This window comes from Homo sapiens, chromosome 1, assembly GCF_000001405.40.
Source record: "Homo sapiens chromosome 1, GRCh38.p14 Primary Assembly".
NCBI lineage: Eukaryota > Metazoa > Chordata > Mammalia > Primates > Hominidae > Homo > Homo sapiens.
This window is the reverse complement of record NC_000001.11, coordinates 11,222,807-11,248,296: the sequence shown is the minus strand read 5'-3', so window position 1 is coordinate 11,248,296 and position 25,490 is coordinate 11,222,807. Positions and strand designations below refer to the sequence as shown.

At 43.5% G+C, this 25,490-nt stretch overlaps 1 protein-coding gene and 2 pseudogenes across 8 annotated transcripts in view, besides 1 other annotated feature; 1 reads left to right on the top strand and 2 right to left on the bottom strand.

The window, feature by feature from the left end:
• MTOR (mechanistic target of rapamycin kinase) overlaps positions 1–25,490 on the top strand; it is a 156,017-nt gene that overhangs the window by 14,255 nt on the left and 116,272 nt on the right. For 6 of the 8 annotated variants that reach the window (XR_007058581.1, NM_004958.4, NM_001386500.1 and 3 more), the window contains 13 exons: positions 203–478; positions 564–672; positions 4,997–5,183; positions 6,616–6,744; positions 7,750–7,994; positions 9,680–9,895; positions 10,249–10,454; positions 14,032–14,154; positions 14,810–14,899; positions 15,769–15,861; positions 16,863–16,997; positions 17,243–17,372; positions 19,379–19,629. Coding sequence is in view for 7 of the 8 variants with exons in the window: in NM_004958.4 (NP_004949.1) it covers positions 203–478; positions 564–672; positions 4,997–5,183; positions 6,616–6,744; positions 7,750–7,994; positions 9,680–9,895; positions 10,249–10,454; positions 14,032–14,154; positions 14,810–14,899; positions 15,769–15,861; positions 16,863–16,997; positions 17,243–17,372; positions 19,379–19,629 (2,190 nt within the window). In the remaining variant the exon portion in view is untranslated. Of the gene's footprint in view, positions 1–202; positions 479–563; positions 673–4,996; positions 5,184–6,615; positions 6,745–7,749; positions 7,995–9,679; positions 9,896–10,248; positions 10,455–10,537; positions 10,562–14,031; positions 14,155–14,809; positions 14,900–15,768; positions 15,862–16,862; positions 16,998–17,242; positions 17,373–19,378; positions 19,630–25,490 lie in introns of those variants that run through there. The other 2 variants (NM_001386501.1, XM_047416724.1) reach the window with 2 other exon arrangements.
• Positions 6,190–6,749: an enhancer, noted in NCBI's record as "OCT4-NANOG hESC enhancer chr1:11301605-11302164 (GRCh37/hg19 assembly coordinates)". NCBI's record gives its function as "activates a minimal SCP1, AML or CMV promoter by ChIP-STARR-seq in primed H9 embryonic stem cells {active_cell/tissue: H9 hESC(primed)}" and the evidence as "EXISTENCE:reporter gene assay evidence [ECO:0000049][PMID:30033119]".
• Positions 14,984–15,387, bottom strand: RPL39P6 (ribosomal protein L39 pseudogene 6; annotated as a pseudogene).
• RNU6-291P (RNA, U6 small nuclear 291, pseudogene) lies at positions 21,937–22,043 on the bottom strand (annotated as a pseudogene).

Here is a 25,490-nt window from a genome sequence, read left to right as displayed (position 1 = left end):
TTCTGCCTAACTTAGAACAAAATCAGGTCCCTTGCAAGGTTCTGGGGAAATTGTAACCCTAAACATGAAGAGTGGCCACCCTTCACTTTGGAAGTAGTTGCGTTTCGGGATTAGGCAAATGTAATTGTCTGTAGAATCCACAGTGCCCAGTTTGAATGCCAGTCATAAGTAAAGATGATTTTTTTCCTCCTCATATATATAGCGTCTGAGAGAAGAAATGGAAGAAATCACACAGCAGCAGCTGGTACACGACAAGTACTGCAAAGATCTCATGGGCTTCGGAACAAAACCTCGTCACATTACCCCCTTCACCAGTTTCCAGGCTGTACAGCCCCAGCAGTCAAATGCCTTGGTGGGGCTGCTGGGGTACAGCTCTCACCAAGGCCTCATGGGATTTGGGACCTCCCCCAGTCCAGCTAAGTCCACCCTGGTGGAGAGCCGGTGTTGCAGAGACTTGATGGAGGAGAAATTTGATCAGGTAAGTGGTGAGAGGCCCTTTCCCTCTTTTCCTAAGCTCCACACCTCACTTTTCCCCTGCCAACCCTTTATCCTTCCTCTCTCAGGTGTGCCAGTGGGTGCTGAAATGCAGGAATAGCAAGAACTCGCTGATCCAAATGACAATCCTTAATTTGTTGCCCCGCTTGGCTGCATTCCGACCTTCTGCCTTCACAGGTGAGGATGTCCATGGAAGACATCATTACCCATCTCAGGGTAAACAGGGAACAGGTGATTCCAGAAAAGCCAAATATCTTTTCCTTTGAAGCAACGCCAACAAATCTCTGATTTCTTTGTCTCATGTCCAATTTCAATGCTATTTAGTTCAGGTTTTCTAATGTCAGAGGCAGCAGACACAGGAACAATCAGAACAGAGAGGCAATTCTATGGCCAAGCAAATTTTCATGTATGGATGCCAACAAGTTCACAAGTAGACTTAAAAGAGACCAAAGGAAGGGCAGTTTTGATGTAGCTACTGTGCAGCATCTACGTCAAAGCTTTGTGAGTCAGGGAGGGTTTGGGGATCGTCCTGCTTCTGTCCCTGAGGTGGTCACCAAGCTGCCTCACCACTTGCAGGCAGCATCAATCCTTGGCTCCTGAAGCTGCCCCAACTCAGAGTCCAACTTCTCAACGAAGCCTTCCTAGATTGCTCCAGCTGTAAATGTCCTTGCCTTCTTCCATCATAGCCCTCAGCTGTGGAAAGGTTTGGCATCAGACCTGAGATGAACCCCACCTCCGCCCTTAACCATGAGGTTTTGGACAGATTATTTGACCTACCTGGGCCTCAGCTTCCTGACTTGTAAAATCAGAATAACAATCTCTGCCTCCCAAGATGAGCAGCATTAATGTCTCAGCATCTACTATAGTGCCTGGCACAGAGCCCTAATAAGTGGAAACCATTATATATTATTACAGCCTCCTCAAGCTACTTCAAATATGTTTTGGAAATAGGGTAGAGGTAAAATTTATAATGCTCTAGTTGCCTGTTCATACTTAATGTCCTTGTCTTACCTCTCTACTTGCTGAGTGTAGGCACCCAGTCTTGAACATCTCTTCCCACTTTACCGTGGTGCTCATTGCCTGTGCTTAGTGAAGCATTCAGGACCCATTGAGAGCCAGGAACATAAGCAAAAGGCCAGCCTGGCCCTCAGCAGACCCTATTCCCTAGCACACAGACTCACTTCACGCCACCCAGCCAGACAAACCACAGGAGAAATGTAGCTGGTCAGGTGTTAAACACGCTGTTCGAAAGAAGTAGAACGTGTTGGGTGAGGACATGACAATTCGCCACATAAAACCACTGAACCAGAGAGAAATAACAGAAGGAAAATCACCCGTATTTTGTTAGTTTCTATTGTTCTGGCCTGGCACCCAGCAGCTTTTCTCTTTTTTAATGACCAGACAGGCTGCTGTTCAGTAGAGCTTTAAATGATCTTGGATTGAAAGTCTGTGGTTCAAAAGGAACTAATAACTAGGCCAAATTTGATCAAAGTCTGGCACATTACCCTTGTAAGTTACCCTTGTAAGTTCAGAAGGCTGCCTAGCAGCAGGATACAAAGGCTCAGAGGGCCCTAGATTTCTTCTTTTGATGTGGGTGTTTGTTATTGTTGTTGCTCTCTTTTTTAAGGTTAGTCAAGGTTGTTTTATTAAATATGCTAAAATATGCCAGTGACATTCAGCCTGGGCACACCGTATAAGTATTTGCTTCATTGCATAAGTACTATTTGTTTAAAGCTTGCAGTTTGGAAGTTATTGCTTAAACTTCTCAATGTTATAAGCTTTAGAAATATAAAAAAATACTCCAAGACTGAACTAGAATCTCTACAGTCAGATTTCTAATCTCAGGATGCTAAATCCAGGAAAGAAAATTATACTCTCTTGGGGTTTTTTTTGAGACAGGGTCTTGCTGTGTCACCCAGGCTGAAGTGCAGTAATGCGATCTCAGCTCGCTGCAGCCATGACCTACTGAGCTCAAGCGATCCTCTCACCTCAGCCTCCCAAGTAGGTAGGACCACAGGCATGAGTCTCCACTCCTGGCTAATTTTTTAAATTTATTTTTTGTAGAGATGATTTGGGATCTCACTGTGTTGCCCAGGCTGGTCTTGAACTCCTGGGCTCAAGCAATTCTCCTGCCTTGGCCTCCCAAAGTGCTTGGGATTACAGACATGAGCTGTGGCGCCTTGCCAGGAAATTATGCTCTTGATTTTACCCCGTTTCCTGCCGAAATGCTATCCCCTTAGTTTTTCTTGTTGACCCACTCTAATTTTAGGGTTGTATCTCCTTGGTCACCTGTCTTCAAGCCCCAGCATGCCTCATTGTCATTTGACCACAAGAGCCATGGGAGAAAACATTTCTCAGAGTAAATGCAGTCATAGCATGTGCTATTTTAGAAGTCTAATTCATTGTCTAAATGTGGTTCTGGTAGCTTTCAGTATCCCTAACTTCCTAAGGGATGTGTGGTTTTCCCTTCTCTCCTATTTTATGTGTACTACTGGTGCCTGGACTTGGGACCAACATCAATGGAAGAGAAGAAATAAATAGACAAGAAGCAAGAATCAGGAAATTCCAGCCTTCAGAGGAGAAATAACACTTTAGCTTGGATTGTATGAGAATCGCCTACCCATGCACACTGGCTTATGTGAACCTAATGAAAATATACATGTGGCTTTCCAAATTATAGACTAAATCTTCTTCTATTAAATATAACTGTCATAAAAATCTCTAGGTAATAGCAAAATGATTTCCAGGCCTATGCTGAATGGAATGGCCTGTTTATTGCAAACAGTGCTCAGTATTACAGTCATATATTGCTTAACGATGGGGATACATTCTGAGAAATGCGTCTTAGGAGAATTTGTCCTTGTGTGAACATCATAGAATGTATTTACATAAACCCAGATGGTATAGCCTACTCTACACCTAGCTCTGTGGTGTAGCCTATTGCTCCTGGGCTACAACTTGTACAGCATGTTACTGTAATGAATATTCTAGGCAACTGTAAAACAGTGGTAAATGTTTGTGTATCTAAACATAGACATAGAAAAGATATGTAAAAATATACTGTATTATAATCTTATGGGACCACCATCATATACATGGTCCATTGTTAACCCAAACGTTGTTAAGTGGCACACGACTGTACTGTTTTTTTGTTTGTTTGTTTGTTTTTCTGAGACAGAGTCTTGCTCTGTTGCCCAGGCTGGAGTGCAGTGGCACGATCTTGGCTCACTGCAACCTCTGCCTCCCGGGTTCAAGTGATTCTCCTGCGTCAGCCTTCCGAGTAGCTGGGATTACAGGCGCACTACCATGCCTGGCTAATTTTTTGTATTTCAGTAGAGACGGGGTTTCATCATGTTGTGCAGGCTGGTCTCAAACTCCTGAGCTCAGGCAGTCCACCCGCCTTGGCCTCCCAAAGTGTTGGGATTACAGGCGTGAGCCACCGCGCCCGACCCTGTACTGGTTTTTTATTAGTTTGAGATGGGGTCTTTTTTTTTTTTTTTTTTTTAAATGAGATGTAGTTTTGCTCTTGTTGCCCAGGCTGGAGTGGAATGGCGTGATCTCGGCTCACCGCAACCTCCGCCTCCCGGGTTCAAGCGATTCTCCTGCCTCAGTCTCCTGAGTAGCTAGGATTACAGGCATGCACCCTTATGTCCGGCTAATTTTGTATTTTTAGTAGAGATGGGGTTTCTTTATGTTGGTTAGGCTGGTTTCAAACTCCTGACCTCAGGTGATCCTCCTGCCTTGGTGTCCCAAAGTGCTGGGATTACAGGCATGAGCCACTGCATCTGAGACAGGGTCTTATTCTGTTGCCCAGGCTGGAGTGCATGGCTCTTGGCTCAGTGCGGCCTCAAACTCCTGGACTCAAGTGATGTTCCTCAGCCTCCCAAAGTGCTGGGATTACATGTGTGAGACACTGCACCCGGCCCATGACTGTACTTCAAATTTCATTATAATGTAAAATTGTTTAGATGATCTTCTGTTTTTAAACAAGGTTTGACATATATTTCTTCAGCAAGAGCATGTAATTCTTGTGTGAAAATGTAACAGTAATGGAGACAATTCTGTGATATTGTTTTGGCAACCTTTTACGTTTTTTGGGTTTTTTTTTTTTTTTGAGACAGGCTCTTTGTCACTCAGGCTTGAGTGCAGTGCTGCACACGATCACACCTTTCTGCAGCCTCAACCATCTGGGCTCAAGTGATCCTCCTGCCTCAGCCTCCCGAGTAGCTGGGATTACAGGCATGCACCACCACACCTGGCTAATTTTTATTTTTGTAGAGACAGGGTCTCACTGTGTTGCCCAGGCTGTTTCGAACTCCTGGCCTCAAACACTCCTCTCTCCTTGGCCTCCCAAAGTGTTGGGATTACAGGTGTGAGCCACTGTGCCTGGCCACTTTCTTAATTTATTCTTAAACTGAATTGCTTTATAGGACCTTTGACTGTTGATATGTAGACCCTAACCCTGACCTGGAGCTATCTACTTTGTCTTTTCTGTGCTCAGATACCCAGTATCTCCAAGATACCATGAACCATGTCCTAAGCTGTGTCAAGAAGGAGAAGGAACGTACAGCGGCCTTCCAAGCCCTGGGGCTACTTTCTGTGGCTGTGAGGTCTGAGTTTAAGGTCTATTTGCCTCGCGTGCTGGACATCATCCGAGCGGCCCTGCCCCCAAAGGACTTCGCCCATAAGTAAGCACCTCTGTTATGATTTCACCTTCCACTCCATTTGGTTGGAGAGGAAGGACGCTCTATTTCAGATCCACGGAGCTTACGCCCATTTTTTGCATCATTAAACTCCAGGGTATAGCAAATCATATGAAGAACAGCCCTTCCTTAGTTGAATTCTAAGCTTTTCCAAATGAAATAACATATATGAAATATTTGGGGAGGTTGAATACCCTGAGAACATGTGAGATGCCAATGCTATTTTCAGTGTTATTATTTACTGGGAATCTGCTAGTTTTGCTTTTTTCTCTGGCTTTTAAAAGTCTTATTTTGATATAAGACCTAAAGAGAGGAATCCTTGACTGGAACTGAAGGGACCTAAGGGTCATCTTTTTCCTCATCGCTGAAGTTGAATAAGTTATTCCACCTCTTTAAACCTCCTGGCGAATAAAATATGAGAAAACCCCTCAGCATCCTGCCAGATGGAGAGACTGGGGTGTCTTCGCTAAGGCGAGGGGGTCAGTGTTCATCATCCTTTGTCTCAGGTTGTCTTTATACTTCCCTGTTTATTAGCGAAGATTGCTGTGGTGAATTAATACGCCCCACTCATTCTTTTTTTTTTTTTTTTTTTTTTTTTGAGATGGAGTCTTACTTTGGTTGCCCAGGCCGGAGTGCAGTGGCACGGTCTTGGGTCACTGCAACCTCCTCCTCTCAGGTTCAAGCGATTCTCCTGCCTCAGCCTCCTGAGTAGCTGGGATTACAGGCATGTGCCACTATGCCAAGCTAATAATTGTATTTTTTTGTAGACACAGGTTTTCACCATTTTGGCCGGGCTGGTCTCGAACTCCTGGCCTCAAGTGATCCACCCACCTTAGCCTCCCAAGTAGCTGGGACTACAGGCGTGTGCCAGCACGCCCAGCTAATTTTTGTATTTTTAGTAGAGGCGGGGTTTCACCATGTTGGCCAGGCTGGTCTCGAACTCCTGACCTCAGGTGATCCACCCACCTCCGCCTCCCAGAGTGCTGGGATTACAGGCGTGAGTCGCTGCGCCTGGCCCCATTCTAAAGCCCAGCATTCTCATCATAGAAGAATTTCTTTCCATATGATGGCTGTGTACTGCCTTCTTGTCCCTGATGAACACATTGTTCAGCTCTCTTCCTACATAATTATCTTGGTGAGCACCACAATAACCCATATGGTATAGCTGTGTGAATTCAGAAAAAAGGCCCCTTCCTTAAGACACTTTACTGCCATCTGCTGGATTGTTGTAGAAATGTACAAATCTACAGTAATTGTGATGTGATGGGTCCCTTTGAACTGTGCTCTGGACAATTTGCATACCCATCTGTGGTAGCCCTGCCTGAGTAACCTGCTCTCCTTGCCCCAAGGTGATTTTGAGGTGGGACATTAAAGAATGTCATTATGTCTCAACTAGCCACTCTCCATTTCTCTACAGGAGGCAGAAGGCAATGCAGGTGGATGCCACAGTCTTCACTTGCATCAGCATGCTGGCTCGAGCAATGGGGCCAGGCATCCAGCAGGATATCAAGGAGCTGCTGGAGCCCATGCTGGCAGTGGGACTAAGGTGGGTGTCAGAAACCTGAGCTTGCCCTGTATCAGCGTGAGGCTTGGCCCCCAGTGTTGGGACTGTTAAAAGAATGAGGCATGGTTGTTTGCACATTCAACTGGATGGACAGGATAGCTTAGACTAAACACACAGGCTAGTACTGAATCCTAGTTTCATCACTAGCTTTCTATATGATCTTGACTAAGTTATTTAATTTCCCCGAGCCTCATTTTTTTTTTTTTTTTTTTTTGAGAAGGGGTCTCGCTCTGTCGCCCAGGCTGGAGTGCAGTGGCCCAGTCTTGGCTCACTGCAAGCTCCGCCTCCCGGGTTCACGCCATTCTCCTGCCTCAGCCTCCTGAGTAGCTGGGACTACAGGCGCCTGCCACCACGCCTGGCTAATTCTTTGTATTTTTAGTAGAGTTGGGGTTTCAGTGTGTTAGCCAGGATGGTCTCGATCTCCTGACCTTGTGATCCGCCCACCTCGGCTCCCAAAGTGCTGAGATTACAGGTGTGAGCCACCGCGCCTGGCCTCATTTTTTTTTTTTAATCTGAAAAGTGGGTGCAATAGTAATTCTTATTGCCTAGGGTTGCTGTGGGTTCATGGTATAGTCACTCTTAGCACCATGCCTGGCATATAGGAAGTACTCAATAAATATTTGCAAATATTGTGTATATTATTATTGAGCAAGTTGCTTAAGCTTCCTAAACTAAGTTCTCTTCATCTGTAAAATAAGGACAGTGTTCTTAATCTGCTTCCCAGAGTGTTTGTTGAGACTTGGTCTTCTGTAGTGGCTGAATTATAGTGAGCAAGTCTTCTGTGGCAAGAACCAGAAACTCATAGATTGTTTGGAGACCTGAGACTAAGCCAAGAGAGTTTACACTTTTATTCTTATTTTATAATATCCTTTCTACTCTGAAGAACAGAGGCCTGATCCCCTTGCTGGGAGAGAAAGCTGTTTCTTCCCAAGAACAGACTGAGTGTCATGTGCCCAGCCCTTATGTGACTTGTTTCCTTCCCCTCAGCCCTGCCCTCACTGCAGTGCTCTACGACCTGAGCCGTCAGATTCCACAGCTAAAGAAGGACATTCAAGATGGGCTACTGAAAATGCTGTCCCTGGTCCTTATGCACAAACCCCTTCGCCACCCAGGCATGCCCAAGGGCCTGGCCCATCAGCTGGCCTCTCCTGGCCTCACGACCCTCCCTGAGGCCAGCGATGTGGGCAGCATCACTCTTGCCCTCCGAACGCTTGGCAGCTTTGAATTTGAAGGTAAGAAATTACAACGGCTCTTGCCAAGATAGTGAGAGATGCTGGAAACTTTGGGAAAGGAATGAAGGTATCTAGGATTCCTGGATCTTGCTGGGGTGCTAAAGACAGGGTAGCTGATTCTGTAGCAGCTCATCCTTCCTAGACTCTTTCCACGTATTGGTAATTCCTACTTTTGTTTCTTTGTCCCATACTGAGTTTGGGGGCAAATGGTTTGAGGGAAAGTATACGTTGATCCAAGGAAATAATGCTTCAGAGACAGATCCCCCTCACATCCTCACTTTTCCACTTCTTTGTAGCTGAGATGGTATGTAATGCTTTAAAATGTATAAGTAGGGGCTTTTGGGTGTTTCCATGTCTATGGCAGTATGATTTCTTTTTTCTTTCTTTTTTTTTTTTTTTTGAGACAAAGTCTCTCTGTTGCCCAGGCTGATGTGCAGTGGCACAATCTCAGCTCACTGCAACCTCTGCCTCCTGGGTTCAAGCGATTCTCCTGCCACAGCCTCCCGAGTAGCTGGGACTATAGGCGCGTGTCACCACACCCGGCTAATTTTTGTATTTTTGGTAGAGATGGGGTTTCACCATGTTGGCCAGGTTGGTCTGGAACTCCTGACCTCAAGTGATCTGCCTGCCTCGACCTCCCAAAGTGCTGGGATTATATCCATGAGCCACTGTGCCCGGCTGGCGGTATGATTTCTAAAAGTACCATACTGTGTAGTTCTAAACTGCAAATAAACCCATAATAATACCCCACAGAGATATATTTCAGGGGGAGAAGTTGATACTTTTGAAATTTAAGATCATATAGGTAGTATTGGTCAAGAATGTGGGGAAACAAGCAAGTACAGAAAGCCTGAACATGCTGTCTGGAGACAGCCACCCATGGTTTCTCTATTGCAGTTCCTCCACTTAACATTGATTCACACCCATGATAATTTATTTCTAGTGAATAGAAAGTAGCTATGTTTAAACCCAGCCTACACAGACTCTTTGTCTGGTATTTAAATCCGGGAACTAAAAGAGGCAAGGTAAATTTGATCAAGAATTGTATTATCCTCTGAGAATGTAAGGGGTTGAGTTGGAATAAAACAAAATAATTTATTATTTAAAGGGAATATAAAAAGGCTAGGATTGGGGGATACCTTTTATCTGTCTCTTTGCTCCTTCACCACCCCCTTTTACCTTTCTGCTGATTGAAATCCCCCTTGTTACCCTTTAAAAGTTCTGGGTCAGGCCTGGCGCGGTGGCTTACGCCTATAATCCCAGCACTTTGGGAGGCCGAGGCGGGCGGATCACAAGGTCAGGAGATCGAGACCATCCTAGCTAACATGGTGAAACGCTGTCTCTAATAAAAATACCAAAAAAAAAAAAAAAAATTAGCCAGGCGTGGTGGTAGGCACCTGTAGTCCCAGCTACTCAGGAGGCTGAGGCAGGAGAATGGTGTGAACCCGGGAGGCGGAGCCTGCAGTGAGTGGAGATTGCGCCACTGCACTCCAGCCTGGGCGACAGAGCAAGACTCCGTCTCAAAAAAAAAAAAAAGAAGAGTTCCGGGTCAGTATCGTATTGATCAATATCTAGTTGAAAGTAGAATTAGTAGCCTCAAAATGGAAAATTCAGCTAGCAAGCTGCAGACCTACCTGTCTACAGCAGCAGTGTTTATTCTGTTTTCTCTCTGCCTTTCTATCCAGGCCACTCTCTGACCCAATTTGTTCGCCACTGTGCGGATCATTTCCTGAACAGTGAGCACAAGGAGATCCGCATGGAGGCTGCCCGCACCTGCTCCCGCCTGCTCACACCCTCCATCCACCTCATCAGTGGCCATGCTCATGTGGTTAGCCAGACCGCAGTGCAAGTGGTGGCAGATGTGCTTAGCAAACTGCTCGTAGTTGGGATAACAGATCCTGGTAAGGCTTGCCAGACAGAAGGAATCTAGGGGAGTTAAGGAGCTTAGGACAATTGGGAGTAGCCAGTTTCATTACATGGCCTCTCTAGAGTTCTTCGGCTCAAAAAGCTGATATTCAGCTATTTCTCTGCCAAGGCGTGTTAGGCATGGCTACTGTAGCCTTTGGTGTAAGATAATCTACCTTTAATTCTTTTGTCTTTTACTCTTGTGAGTAGAGAAAAGAATGACAGAGGTTAGATGAGAAAAAGCATCTGGAATCTTCCCACTACGCTGATGGCAGTGGAGGTAGAAGCTGGGAAGGGCTGGAGTGATGGGATCATGAGGAAATGTTCAAAGGCTCCATTGCTCTTGCAGACCCTGACATTCGCTACTGTGTCTTGGCGTCCCTGGACGAGCGCTTTGATGCACACCTGGCCCAGGCGGAGAACTTGCAGGCCTTGTTTGTGGCTCTGAATGACCAGGTGTTTGAGATCCGGGAGCTGGCCATCTGCACTGTGGGCCGACTCAGTAGCATGAACCCTGCCTTTGTCATGCCTTTCCTGCGCAAGATGCTCATCCAGGTAACCGAGGTGATGGCCAGACCCACAGGCAGGGAAGACAGGACTCTCGCTGTGAGAACTGCTTGAGGAAGCGGAGTTGAGGACAAGGATGGGGGAGAAAGATTGAGGTACCTGGTAAAAGCCGCATTTGTCTGCAAAGGTCCAAATGTTTCCCTGGCTTTATAATGGCAGTTCCAGTGCTCATCACCTCATGAGCCCTTTGTCAATATGACTCTAAGGTGGTTCAGAGTCCTCTCATGCAGCTCTTTCTTTTTCCTGGCAAGTCACCAGTGATCCCATTTCTTGGCCCTCTTTGCTTGCTGGGTTGATCTGCTGCAGATGGTGTCAGACTTCCCAGCGCCTCCCTATCCTTCAGCTCTCCTGCTTTTCTTGCTGGTGCCAGGTCAAGCACGGAGGCCGTTGTTCTTCACAAAAATAACCAGTGTGAGACCGTTTCCACTATTTGTTCTAATAGTCATTGCTCCAGTCTGTGATCCTGGCTTTCGTTCTTAAATAATATGAGAATGCCAAGCTCAGCTGCTTGGTCTGTAGCGTAAGGTAGAATTGCTCTGGAGACATGGCTCCTCAGTTTTTGTCTTCACCTACTGAGTAAGATCTGTGGCCTCCTGGTGAGCAATACATGGAGTCCTGCCAATACACCAGTCCTGCCTGGTGAAGTTATTTCCACCTGCCTCTTGTGGGTCTCTATGTTGCTCACCCAGTCATTTCCTGTCCCCATTGCTCACTGTTTGCTTCCTGATCCTCCTTCATGGTTTGTTTTGAAGTAAACACTTTTTATAACATATAAGGAACTTAAACATAGAAAATCATTAATATATGTAACTCACTCTAGAGAAATGTTTGTTCACAATTTGTTATAAAGTGGCTGTAAATTATATCATCAGTCAACAAATTAGGAAGTTGTACTTATGTTGGCACTTCTATTTTTAGCGTAATGATTTATTTAACTGCCGGCCTGCGTTAGAAGTGCCTGCCATTTTAAGTCTTAAAAACATTCCTCAGTTATAGGAAGGAATAGAAATCATTGTTGAAGGCCGGGCGTGGTGGCTCATGCCTGTAATCCCAGCACTTTGGGAGGCCGAGGTGGCCAGATCACCTGGGGTCAGGAGTTCAAGACCAGCCTGGCCAACATGGTGAAACCCCATCTCTACTAAAAATAAAAAAAAAATAGCCAGGCATGTTGGCAGGCGTCTGTAATACCAGCTACTCTGGAGGCTGGTGCAGGGAGAATTGCTTGAACCCAGGAGGTGAAGGTTGCAGTGAGCCGAGAGCGCGCCACTGCACTCCAGCCTGGCGACAGAGCGAGACTCTGTCTCAAAAAAAAAAAAAAAAACGTGAAATCACTGTTGAGCCTGCCAGCTCAAATCATGCTAAATTAATTTGGCGTAGAAATATCTCCTAAACGGCTGAGTGCAGTGTCTCATGTCTGTTATCCCAGCACATTGGGAGGCCAAGGCAGGCGGATCACAGGAGCCCAAGAGTTTGACAAGACCAGCCTGGGGAACATGACAAACCACGTCTCTACAAAATATACGAAAGTTAGCTGGGTGTAGTGGTGCATACCTGTAGTCCTAGCTACTCAGGAGGCTGAGGTGGGAGGATCACTTGAGCCTGGTAAGTTGTGGATGCAGTGAGCCGTGATTGTGCCACTGCACTCCAGCCTGGGTGACAGAGTGAGACCCTATCTCAAAAAAAAAAAAAAAAAGGAAAAAATAAGAAATACCTCCTAATGAGAATATCAATATGTTCATTCTGTCAGCAGACTTTTTGACCACATGCTATGTTCCAGGTACTGCTGGGCACTGGGAATATAGCAGTCAACAAGCCAGGCGTGGCTGCAATCTTCTTTCTTTTTTTTTTTTGAGACACAGTCTCGCTCTGTCGCCAGGCTGGAGTGCAGTAGTGTGATCTTGGCTCACTGCAACCTCCACCTCCCAGGTTCAAGCGATTCTCCTGCCTTGGCCTCCTGAGTAGCTGGGACTACAGGCGCCCGCCACCACGCCCAGCTAATTTTTGTATTTTTAGTAGAGATGGAGTTTCTCCATGTTGGCCAGGCTGGTCTCAATCTCTTGACCTCATGGTCTGCCCGCTTCGGCCTCCCAAAGTGCTGGGATTACAGGTGTGAGCCACCTCGCCCGGCTGGCTCTAATCTTCTTAAAGCTGATATTAAGCTATCAGGCCATTTCATTTTTTCAATATTGCAGAGTGTGAAGCTCCTTTGAATGAATTTATGTACTGAATTTAGCCCTTGAAATGTTAAAATTACTCTTTTTTGTTTTTAAACTTTGATATAGATTTTTCCAAATTGAGGTGTACATTTTCATGCCTTGGTAAAGGCTTTGGTGTTTTGTTTTGTTTTGAGACAGAATCTCACTCTGTCACCAAGGTTAGAGTGCAATGGTGGGATCTCGTCTCACTGCAACCTCTGCCTCTTGGGCTCGAGCAGTCCACCTGCCTCAGCCTCCTAAAGTGCTGGGATTACAGGCATGAGCCACCGTGCCTGGCCGACTTTGGCCTTTCTTGCGGTCTTGGTCATCAGGGTGGGCATTGGTTATTGTTATTAGGATGCAGTGAGGCTCTCGGGCTCTAAGTGAACCTGGGGTTCTTTGGATTGGCCCCGCACTGCTGCAGATAGTTGGGCTCTGCTCCGTGAGGCACATTTCCTTGCAGTCAGCCATGTCTTCTTGGTGCTGCAGGTCTATTCTCAGTATCCCCTTCATTTCTTTTCCCTGTGGTCTGCTATGACTGGGGAAAACAGGCTGCCAGGGGAATCCAGAAAAATCGGGTTATTAAGTCAGTAACCTAAGACAAAATGTAATGTTAAATTGTAGACTCCTCTGGGTAGCTGAGTTAACCTGAGCTCTGTGACATCTGCTTTTGTCACTGCTCATCGATTTCCTTCTGGCAGCTTTATCCAGAAATCTGTCTATATTATGCTGTCTATGTCACCATGAGCAAGATATGCTGATTTGCTGGTGTCCTAAGGATGTCAGCTAGAACCAATGTGTTATCTCCAGTCAGTAAGGCTTCGGGGGATCCTGCCAGTGTGATCCCCACCTATTGAGGTTTATCTAGATATGCCCCAAACAGCTACAGAGTATCAGCACTTCTCTTGGCATCATAGCTGTTCTAACTGTTCTTTGATTCCTTTGCCATTATTTGTAGTCTTCAGTAATTTGCTGTCTGGACAAAGATTTTTCTCCCAAGGGGCCCTACCTTCTTTCCTCATTTTTATAGAACCCTACTCACAGCTCTCCCTGTTGGTTTTCTCAGTCTTCTCTGGCTGTGCTACATGGTTAAAAGCTCTGCTTTAGAGAGGGCCATGGGACATTGGAGTGCTGTGATAAAAGGAAAGGGAGCAGGTTTTCGAATAGTTTTTCTTCCTGTCACAGCTGTATCTAAGGCTGTTCTGCCTGTTGCAGAAAAGTCTGTTGCTCATTGAGTATCTAGCAGCTACTTCATCTGTCGTGGAGGTCTGGGTTTTTCCCCCAGTTCCCTGCCACTTTTTCTGTTGGACACAGTCTCTCTCTAGAATGTCTTCTGCCATAGAGAACATATGAGCCTTTCTTCCCTACAGATTTTGACAGAGTTGGAGCACAGTGGGATTGGAAGAATCAAAGAGCAGAGTGCCCGCATGCTGGGGCACCTGGTCTCCAATGCCCCCCGACTCATCCGCCCCTACATGGAGCCTATTCTGAAGGTAACACAAACCGAGAGGCTGGTGCTTTCTCTGTGCGTTGTCATCAGCTCATATGGGGAGATGGGAGTGTTTCAGTGTTCACTAGTACACTGAACAAAGTAGGTGATTTCTTTGCTCTCACGCTTGGAGACCAAAGGGCCATATCAAGCACTTTCAGTTAAAGAATACCAAGAATCTTATCAGTTGCAGGAAAGTGCTGTCCTTACAAGAGGTAAGAGTTAATGCTTCAGGCACATCATCGCAGATGTTTGGAAAGGAGAAGTAGGTAGATAGTAGCATAAAATAGCTCGCCCAAAATGAGGAAAAAATGAGCTTGAAAATCTGAAACAACCTTCAAATCTCAACACATTAGAGTCACGTGAAGTCCTTTATAATGTATGTTAATCTGGATGAACAATCACTGAGACTCGGTTTAGAGGAGACATGAGAAATACTTTCACATTATGGTGCTTCCCAGCTCTCTCACATGTCAGACTTAGACTTCATATGGAGAAAAGTTTGAGAATTTACATTCCAGAGAAATCTTGGATTCATAAAGCCTAGAAGGAATTTCTTTATGACTGAGATGGTCTCTTGGGTGAATTTTACTTATATAAAAGAAAGGTTTCTAGTAGAGTCTAATCTGCATTCATTTTCTCATAACTTCTTTCTCTAGGCATTAATTTTGAAACTGAAAGATCCAGACCCTGATCCAAACCCAGGTGTGATCAATAATGTCCTGGCAACAATAGGAGAATTGGCACAGGTAAAGGGGCAGCTACTTTTTCCATAGCGGAGATAGGGTGGAAAAGAAACTAACCTCTAAGGAAGTCAAAATACTATTTTTTTTTTTAAATGAAAGGTCTCACATATTTATTGCGGAACCCAGCCAACAATGCATTCATAACAGATTCAGAGAGAAATAATATATTCTCAATAAAACATGTCCAACTCTCCAGATAGTGGTGACATTTTCAGCTTGATATGGTAATATCATTGTGACCTTCAGACAGCATAAATGTGTGTGCCATCTCATGTGCAATTCCTTATAGACCCTGCTTGGTTCTTCTCCAGTGTCTTTTTTTGGAGTTGTACCTGGTTTTATTACCAGTTTTCATCCGAATCCACTGGGGAATGGGACGATTTTACTTTTGTTTCTTGGCCAGGAATTGCTTAATTCTGAAAGTCTTGTGAGAAGAATGGCAAGAATCAGAGTCAGGCACACACCATGATGGTGGAGAAAGGAAGAGAGGGCTTTTTTAAAAAAAATTTTTTATTTTATTTATTTGTTTTTGAGACAGTTTCACTTTGTCCAGGCTGGAGTGCAGTGGTGTGATCTTGGCTCACTGCAACCTCCATCTCCTGGGTTCAAGTGATTCTCGTGCCTCACCCTCCCAAGTAGCCGGGATTACAGGTGTGTGCCACCACACCTGGCTAATTCTTGTATTTTTAGTAGAGATGGGGTTTTACCATGTTGGCTAGGCTGGTCTGGAGCTCCTGATGCCAGGTGATCTGCCCTCCTCAGCCTCCCAAAGTGCTGGGATTACAGGCATGAGCCACCGTGCCCGGCCTCCAAAATACTTTCTAATGCCAGAATTTCTAACCCTTTCTGCCACCCTCTTTTTCATTTTGCAGGTTAGTGGCCTGGAAATGAGGAAATGGGTTGATGAACTTTTTATTATCATCATGGACATGCTCCAGGATTCCTCTTTGTTGGCCAAAAGGCAGGTGAGTATTACTGCTTCCTGATTGAGCAAGACAGACCCCATGAGTCCAGGGACTTTGCTTCTCTTTATTCACCTTAGTGTCCTCACCCAGTGCCTAGAACAGAGTGTGACACATAGTAGGTGCTCAAAAATATTTGTTGAATGAGTAAAAGTTAGAAAGATTTGAAACCAGAATTACCTGTTGTCCTGACCCAGAGTCAGTTTCAGTAATTATCGGGGCTGACTAGTGCCATTTTGTCTATACAAAAGAAAATGCAGGTCAATTGTCAGAGCCGTAGCTCTCAGAGGGAAAAAGAAAGCCTTGGCCACTGCCTATGAAGGAACAGAAGTTTAGCTCATCCTTGCCCAGCCCTGGTTCTGCTTTCCCAATTTGAGGCTATTAGATGACTAGACTAAAATTAAGAACAGTCTTAATTTATTTCTGGGCATGGCAGCTCACACTTGTAATCCTAGCACTTTGGGAGGCTGAGGCAGGAAGATTGCTTGAGCTCCAGAGCGAGAGCAACCTGGGCATGATGAGACTTTGTCTCTACTAAAAAAAAAAAATAGCTGGGCATGGTGGCATGTGCCTGTAGTCCCAGCTACTTGGAGGCTAAGATGGGAAGATCACTCGATTCCAGGAGATTAAGGCTGCAGTGAACTGTTATCACACCACTGCATTCCAGTCTCCAGTGAGACCCTGTCTCAACAACAACAAAAAATCTTAATTTCCTTTTGAATCTCCTGTTAATCATTTGGGATATGGAAGAATGATGTGTTTTCTTTGAGAAAGGTGGGAATTTTCTTTGTCTCTTGATCCAGTGATTGTTGCAGGGTTGTGTGCTTGATCAACCTTGGTTTTATGCCCTTTTGGGATTTCTGCTCATGGTTAGTGTCTTTACTGGAAACCTCTTTTCTTCTTACAGCCTCTAACACTTCATTATAATCATTATACAAAGAGTTCAACTATGCTTTCTTTTCTCTCGTACTGGCTCATTGAATCGTGTTCTTGTGCCTATCCAGGTGGCTCTGTGGACCCTGGGACAGTTGGTGGCCAGCACTGGCTATGTAGTAGAGCCCTACAGGAAGTACCCTACTTTGCTTGAGGTGCTACTGAATTTTCTGAAGACTGAGCAGAACCAGGGTACACGCAGAGAGGTAGGGGACGTGGCAAACTTGGTCTTTAAAGACTTTGCTGGGACGATGGCAAGAGAGAGATGGTTGCAGCATTAACATGCTCTGACAGTGTCAGTCAGACTTCCTGTCCCTCTCCAATTTTGTTCATGTAGCTGGTCATTTGGATATGAACTGGGGATTATGTAACCTGAGAGGAGTATCCGTGATACTTGTTGTAATCATGTTGTGATGAATGTTTTCTTTTTTCCCTCCCCTTTCCCACGCAGGCCATCCGTGTGTTAGGGCTTTTAGGGGCTTTGGATCCTTACAAGCACAAAGTGAACATTGGCATGATAGACCAGTCCCGGGATGCCTCTGCTGTCAGCCTGTCAGAATCCAAGTCAAGTCAGGATTCCTGTAAGTTGGGGGTAGCCATGAAAGACTTGCCAAGTTCTCACTCACAGAGCCCTTGCTGGTTGTGTTTAGAAAGTCTGGAGCTGGATTACTGAGAAATTATAGGATATTGGCTCGTGTAGCAACTTTTGAATGAAAAGTCAGTAGTTTCTTCTTGAATCCCGGAAGGGTTGCTGCTTCCCATTGTGGCCAGAGTCCTCATGTCTGTCTAGATTCTTTGTCAAGGGTTGGCATGCCAAGTCTGTCTGCTTTTTGATGCCAATGCAAGAGATACACATTATCACCCCATCACCTCTATCTATCTCTCATTCTTTCTTAGTGCCTCTTTGATGGTTCTCATTCCCATGGTATCTACAGAAGAAGAGGATAGAATTGATTCTTCCTGTTTTAATTGATAGGGAAATCAGAGGCGAGGCTCAGGGCCATAGGGAAAACTAGCAGCAATCAGAAATTTGGGGCTCTTTTTTCCGTGAAATGGTCTGGCCCAAGAGCTGCACTGCCTTTTTTTGTTTGTTTGTTTTTGAGATGGAGAGTCTTACTCTGTTGCCCAGGCTGGAATACAGCACTGCAACCTCTGCCTCCCGAGTTCAAGCAATTCTTCTGTCTCAGCCTCCCAGGTAACTGGGACTACAGGTGCACACCAGCACACCTGGCTAATTTTTGCATTTTTAGTAGGGAGGGGTTTTGCCATGTTGGCCTGGCTGTTCTCAAACTCCTGACCTCAAGTGATCTGCCTGCTTCAGCTTCCCAAAATGCTGGGATTACAGGCATGAGCCACTGTGCCTGGACGCCTTTTTTTTTTTTTTAAAGGTTTGTTTTATTTTTAATTGACTCAGGGAGGGGGAATAGGGAGAGGTTGGTGAATGAGTGCAAGGTTCCAGTTAGACAGGTGGAATAATTTCTGGTGGTCTGTTGCCCATTGCCTTTTATTGTTTTTATTTTAACTTAATTTTATTTTTTTGGAGACAGGGTCTCACTTTGTCACCCAGGCTGAAGTACAGTGGCATGATGTAGCCTCGACCTCCTGGGCTCAAGTGATCCTCCTGCTTCAGCCCCTCAAGTAGCTGGGACTACAGGCGTGTGCCACCACACCTCGATACTTTTTGTATAGCCCGTTGCCTTTTGACAAGTAGCCTGAGTGAATGGGGGTGGGGTATGGGGTTGCAGGAGGGTTTTCTAGACTTAACCCATATTCCCTCAGGGCAGGCCTATTTCTGACATTGAAAGTTAACATTGATTCTCCCAACTATTCCAGGAAAATATTATTACCCCAAAATAAATTGTTTCTGAACTTTCTAGATGGGATCATATTGCTTCACATTTCTTCCTCTTCTGGTATTAGAGAGGCATGCCTGTGATGTCATTCTGTCAGCCCCATAGCTGTTGAGAGCAGGGCCTGAGCCATGCTGCTCCTGGTGTTCTTCCTTATTCATGGCACCAGTCAGCCCAGCTCTTCATCTGTTTAGTTCTTACCCTCCTCGCTGCACTCTTCATGTTAGTATACCTCCCTCCCTTGCCACTGCCCCCGCTGCCACCGTCAGAGTCCTTGAGGTCCTTACTGTTCAAGTCAGGTAGGTAGTATTTGCCTACCAACTTGTCTGAATTCCCTAGGGGAACCAAGGAGCTGCTGAACAGATGTTTGCCTAATTTAATTCCCTTTACTTTATTTTGGGGGAGTAATTATTTTTATTGATGGTTTCAGTTATGAAGTTGTGAACGGTAAGAAGCTAAATTAAACAGAGCAATTTAGAGAAAACCAACCCATCATGTACTGTTTTAGGCTTTTGTGGTTTGAGTAATAGAAAAGCCAAAAACCGTTTACTCCTTGATGGTGAGAGGCTATTCATTGGTTCCTAATAGACCTTGAACTCCCAACAGTGTTAGAACATACTAGGAAGAAAGATATGAATGCTAATGTCTGTTAGGAGGTTGTTTGTTACTAACCATGCTCTGCCTGAAGTCACGTCATGCCATGTGTAGCTCTAACACTCTCTGTTGTTTTGTCCTAGCTGACTATAGCACTAGTGAAATGCTGGTCAACATGGGAAACTTGCCTCTGGATGAGTTCTACCCAGCTGTGTCCATGGTGGCCCTGATGCGGATCTTCCGAGACCAGTCACTCTCTCATCATCACACCATGGTTGTCCAGGCCATCACCTTCATCTTCAAGTCCCTGGGACTCAAATGTGTGCAGTTCCTGCCCCAGGTCATGCCCACGTTCCTTAACGTCATTCGAGTCTGTGATGGGGCCATCCGGGAAGTAAGTACCTCAAACCCCAATCCTTCTCTTTCTCCTCTGCACCACACATGCACAGATCCATCTGTGCTTCAGCTTCTTAATTGTGCATTCTCTGTGCCCCTGAGCCCAATGCCTTCCTCCCCCTTAACTCCCAACATATAAAGTGTACAATCAGCTCACTCCAGTGTCCTGGCTAAAAGGGCCAGGTGCAGTGGCTCACACCTATAATCCTAGCACTTTGGGAGGCCGAAGTGGGCAGATCACCTGAGGTCAGGAGTTTGAGACCAGCCTGGCCAACATGGTGAAACCCCGTCTCTACTAAAAATACAAAAATTAGCCATGCGTGATGGTGCACGCCTATAATCCCAGCTACTCGGGAGGCTAAGGCAGGAGAATCCCTTGAACCTGGGAGGTAGAGGTTGCAGTGAGCTGAGATCGAGCCACCGTGCTTCAGCTTGGACGACAGAGTGAGACTCTGTCTCAAGAAAAAGATGGCTAAAAGATGAATAGCCTGGGGGAGGAAAAGCATTGTCATTCTCAGTAATCTAGAGTTCAGTCCGGTTGTAGATGCCCCACAAATAGAAAATCAGTCTGGATTTCTGGTTGCTCCTTCATGACGAGATTTAAGTCGTAACATTTTTAGTGAAAATACTACACAGGTGAAGTTGAATGCTTCTTACTGGATCTCATACTGCCACCAGTTGGTCCCATTACTGTTGATCCTCAGTGCGAGCATGCGGCCGAGTAGGTGTTTATCCGATCTCTCCATTGTAAGCTTATCTGTTTTCCTTTGCCATTAGTGAGTAATCTGTGGGGTGACACTTTGAGACTCCATGGCTATCCTGTTCCTCAGCTACCTTCCATCCGGTGATTTTAGCATCCGTTGATAATCCTCACTTGAGTTGATTATCACACTGGTGGTTGCAAAGTGATGACTTTCTAATTTTGCTATTCCTTCTCCATTTTATTAGCTGGCAGCATTTTTCTGTGAAGAGGAATTTTCCCCTCCCCCACCTCTCACTCTTGCTGTTTCTTGTGTCTTTCTTTAAACCACAGAATATGCAAAATGGTTCTAAGATTATATGTCCCTACTACTACCAACCACAGATCTAAGTAAAGTTCAGAGTAGCTTTGTAGTTCCTGTTATTCTTAGAATACACTCTACTAAGGGTGTACAGTAAGAGTACTATGTTTAAAAGATACCTCAATTAGTTACTTTTCCCTCTGATCATATTGTCAACATGATGTACATTTAGAGGAGATAGCATGTTTTTAGAAATTATGTTTCCTAACTTTGTGTCTGGAGTATAGACATACTGTTTATTTGTTTCTATTGTATTTATAACTATCAACCTAATTGAATTTTTTTTTTTTTTTTTTTTTTTTTTTTTGAGACAAAGTCTCACTTTGTTGCCCAGGCTGGAGTGCAGTGGTATGATCTCAGTTCATTGCAGCCTCTGCCTCTCAGGTTCAAGCAATTCTCCTGCCTCAGCCTCTTGAGTAGCTGGGATTACAGGGGTGCACCACCAAGCCCGGCTAATTTTTGTATTTTTAGTAGAGACAGGGTTTCGCCATGTTTGCCAGGCTGGTCTTGAGCTCCTAACCTCAGGTGATCCAACTGCCTCAGCCTCCCAAAGTGCTGGGATTACAGGCATGAGCCACCACGCCTGGCCGGAATTCTTATTAACTCTAATAATTTACCTGTAAATTCTCTCAGGTTTTTACTCTATATAATTATATAGTCTGGTGGGCGGGGGCGGGGGCGGGGGTGGGGGGAAGAAAAATTAAAAAAGGAAGTTTTGTTTTTTAGTTTTAATCTTGTAAACCACCACTTAGTGACACAGTAAGGAAAAGTAATAAGTACTAAAAAAGTCATAAGACCTCTACTACCATGTTTTTGGTTTTTGAGATAGGGTCTAGCTCTGTTGCCCAAGCTGGTGACACAGAGGTTGCAATAGGTGATATGGGCTCACTGCAACCTCCACCTCCTGGGCTCAAATAATCCTCCCACCTCAGCCTCCCGAGTAGCTGGGACTACAGGCATTTACAACCACACCCAGCTGATTTTTTGGGTTTCGCCATGTTGCCCAGGCTGGTATCAAACTCCTGGGCTCAAGCTATCTGCCCACCTTGGCCTCCCAAAGCACTGGAATTACAGGAGTGAGCCACTGTACCCGGCCTACTTCCATGTTAATTAGATGCAGTGATAGTGGAAATCTATAACCTTGCTCCTGATTTTAATGGGACTGCTGTTAAGATTTCACCATGAAGTATAATATTTGTTGTAGCTTTTTGGTAGATATCTTTTTATTTTATTTTTATTTTTAAAAAAATACGGAATGCTTCACAAATTTGCCTGTTATCCTTGCATATGGGCCATGCTAATCTTCTCTAGATTGTTCCAATGCTAGTATACGTGCTGCCAAAATGAGCACTAGATAGCTTTATAAAGGTCAAATATTCTCATATAAAGAGAATACTAAAGAGTTTTATTATGAATGTATATTGAATTCTTTAGTCTGTAATAGTCATATGGTTTTTCTCTTTTAATGTGTTAAATATGTTGAATCACACTGATAACGTGTTCTAATGTAAGAATGCTGGCATTCTTATATTAAAACCACCTTGGTTATAATGTATTTTTAAATTTCGATCTTATGTCAGTTCAGCTTAGAATTTTTGGATCTGTGTTCTTGATTGAATTGGTCTATAATTTTCTCTTTCTTAACTATGGGCTCAAAGATCTGTTTAGCTTTTCTGTATCTCCTTGAAGCAGTTTTGGCTACTTTTTTTTAGGAAGCTGTTCATTTTGTCTAAGTGATAAAACTTGTTGACATGAAATTGTTCACACTGTTCTCTTACATTTTAATTTTTTTAAGATCTTTTTTTATGCCCCAGAACTGAGTGGATTATGTTTTAATTTTCTACTAGAGATTTGTTAAAGCATTTTTCAAAGAAGCAACTATCGGCCAGGTGCGGTGGCTCATGCCTATAATCCCAGCACTTTGGGAGGCCAAGGCGGGTGGATCATCTGAGGTTCGGAGTTCAACTCCAGCCTGGCCAACATGGAGAAACCCCATCTCTACTAAAAATACAAAAATTAGCCGGGCATGGTGGCACATGCTTGTAATCCCAGCTACTCAAGAGGCTGAGGTGGGAGAATCGCTTGAATCTGGGAGGTGGAGGTTGCAGTGAGCTGAGATTGTGCCATTGCACTCCAGCCTGGATGGCAGAGCAAGATTCTGTCTCAAAAAAAAAAAAAAAAAGAACCAATTTTTGACTTGTTGATCTATTATTATTTTACTTTTTCTGCTTTTTAAAAAAAATTGTGTTAGAATGTTAAGTCATTGTCAGTCTTCTTTTCTAATGTAATCTCTTAAGGCTATGAATTTCACTCCAAGTATTAACTGCTTTCCAAAATTTCTTAAAGCTTACATACCGTAAGATATGTGGGGGGAAAATTTAAAATAAAAAATTTATTTATTTATTTACAAGTCAGATAAAATTTACATACCGTAAAATTCATTGATTTTTAATATATTTACAGAGTTATGCAGTTATCACTAATAATCTAATTTTAGAAAACTTAAATCACCCCAGCAAAAAAACCTCCTGTCCATTTTCAGTCATTTTCTGTTTCTGCCTCATCCCTGGGCAACTACTAATCTGCTTCTCTCTCTATAGATTTACTTTTTCTGGGCATTTCATGTAATTGGTGTCATAGAATATGTGGTCTTTTGCATCTGGCTTCTTTCACTTAAAACTTTTGAGGTTCATCCATGTGTGGCATGTATCAGTAATTCATTCTTCCTTTATTACTCAGTAGTGATGTAGTATTTTCATTATTGTCCAGAAATATTTTCCAGTGTTAGAATTTCTTCTTTTACCCTTGAGTTATTTAGAAGTGGGTATTTTATTTGTAAACTTAAAGGGTTTTTAATTTCTCTTTTTTATATTGATTTCTAACTTAATTGCATTGTGTTTATGATTCTTTCATGCTTGCTGGAACTGCTTTAATGGTCTAGTGGTTGATTGATTTTCATAAATATTTCCTATATCCTTGGGAATACTTGTGTATTTGCTAACGTTATGGACAGGGTTTTACATAAGTCATTAGATTGAATTTATTACTTATTGTGTTCAAATCTTTTGTGTCCTTCTAATTTTTGTTTGTTTGATCTATCAATACTGAGAGAAGTGAGACAAAAATCTCCCTTTACATTGGTGGGCTTTTTTCTGATAGTTTAGTCAATCTTGTTTTATGTATCTTTGAGATTATATTACTAGATGCATGCAAATTTTAAATCCTGATATCTTCCTGGTAAGTTGACTCTTTTATCATTATGCAATAATCCTTCTTATCTTTAATAATACCTTAAAACGTATTTTACGTAACATTAATATAGCTGTACCAGCTTTTTTTTGGAGGTATATGTCTTTTCCAATTCTTTTACTTTTAACTGTCTTGTGACTTTTTGTTTTGGATGCTGTCTTGTAAATATAGCTAGATTATCTTTTTAATCCAATTTAAAAATGTTTGTCTTTTAACCAGTGCATTCTAGGCCAATTGCATTTATTGTGATTGCTGTTATATTTGGCCTATTTATTTTATTTTATTTTATTTTATTTTATTTTATTTTATTTTATTTTGAGACGGAGTATCGCTCTTGTTGCCAGGGTGGAGTGCAATGGTGTGATCTCGGCTCACTGCAACCTCTGCCTCTTGGGTTCAAGTGATTCTCCTGCCTCACCCTCCCAGGTAGCTGGGATTATAGGTGCATGCTACCATGCCCAGCTAATTTTGTATTTTTAGTAGAGATAGGATTTCACCATATTGGCCAGGCTGGTCTCAAACTCCTGACCACAAGTGATCCACCCGTCTCGGCCTCCCAAAGTGCTGGGATTACAGGTGTGAACCACTGCACCTGGCCATGTTTGCGTTTATTTCCACCATCTTACTTAGTGCATTCTTTTTGTCCTGCTTTGTCTGTTTATCTTTCTTTTTTGTCTTTTTCTGGATTTGTTTGAGCCTTTATTTTTTATTTCATCTTTTGCCTTCACTCATTGGCCACCTTTAATTTTTCTTAACATTTTGTAATAGACTATTTCAATCATGAATATAGTAGACAACCTATTATATTAGATTCTCACATACCCATCAGTAATTACTAGCATTTTGTCAATTTGGTTTTATCTCTTACCTCCATCGCCTTTCCCCCCGACACATGTACATACATTTCTGCAGTATTTTAAAGCAAATTACAGGTATCATATTATTTCACCAATACATACTTTTTCCCATGTAACCACAAATATGACACCTACAAAGCTAACAATCATTTCTTAGTATTATTTAATACCAACCCTTCTTCAGATGTCCCTGATTGTCTTAAAAATTCATTGTAATTTGGTTTATTCAAATAAAAATCTATATAAGGTCTACATCTGGCATTTGGTTGATGTATATAATTCTTTCACTACTTATTTACCTTTTCCCTCTACTTAAAAAAAAAAAAAAAGTCATGTATTTGTAGAAGAAACCAGGTCATTTGTCCTGTTTCTCATACTGGATTTGGCTGATTGTATCTTCGAAGTGTCTTAATTTCCTATAAACTAGTTAGATTTAGAGGCTTGATTAGATTCAGGTTCTGTTCTTTTGACAAGAGATACTTCATAGATTACAGTACTGTATACCTCCTATTTCAACATTTAGTAAACAGATATTTTCCATATGACCCACTGCTAGTGATGTAAAGGCTGATCAGTGGGTTCGGATATTGTCATCTGATCCATCTGTTATAAAGTTCCCTATCAGCCTTTTTCCCAGTCATTTTAGCATTCATTGGTAGTTATTTCCTAGAGCTGTTATTTGATTAGGGACT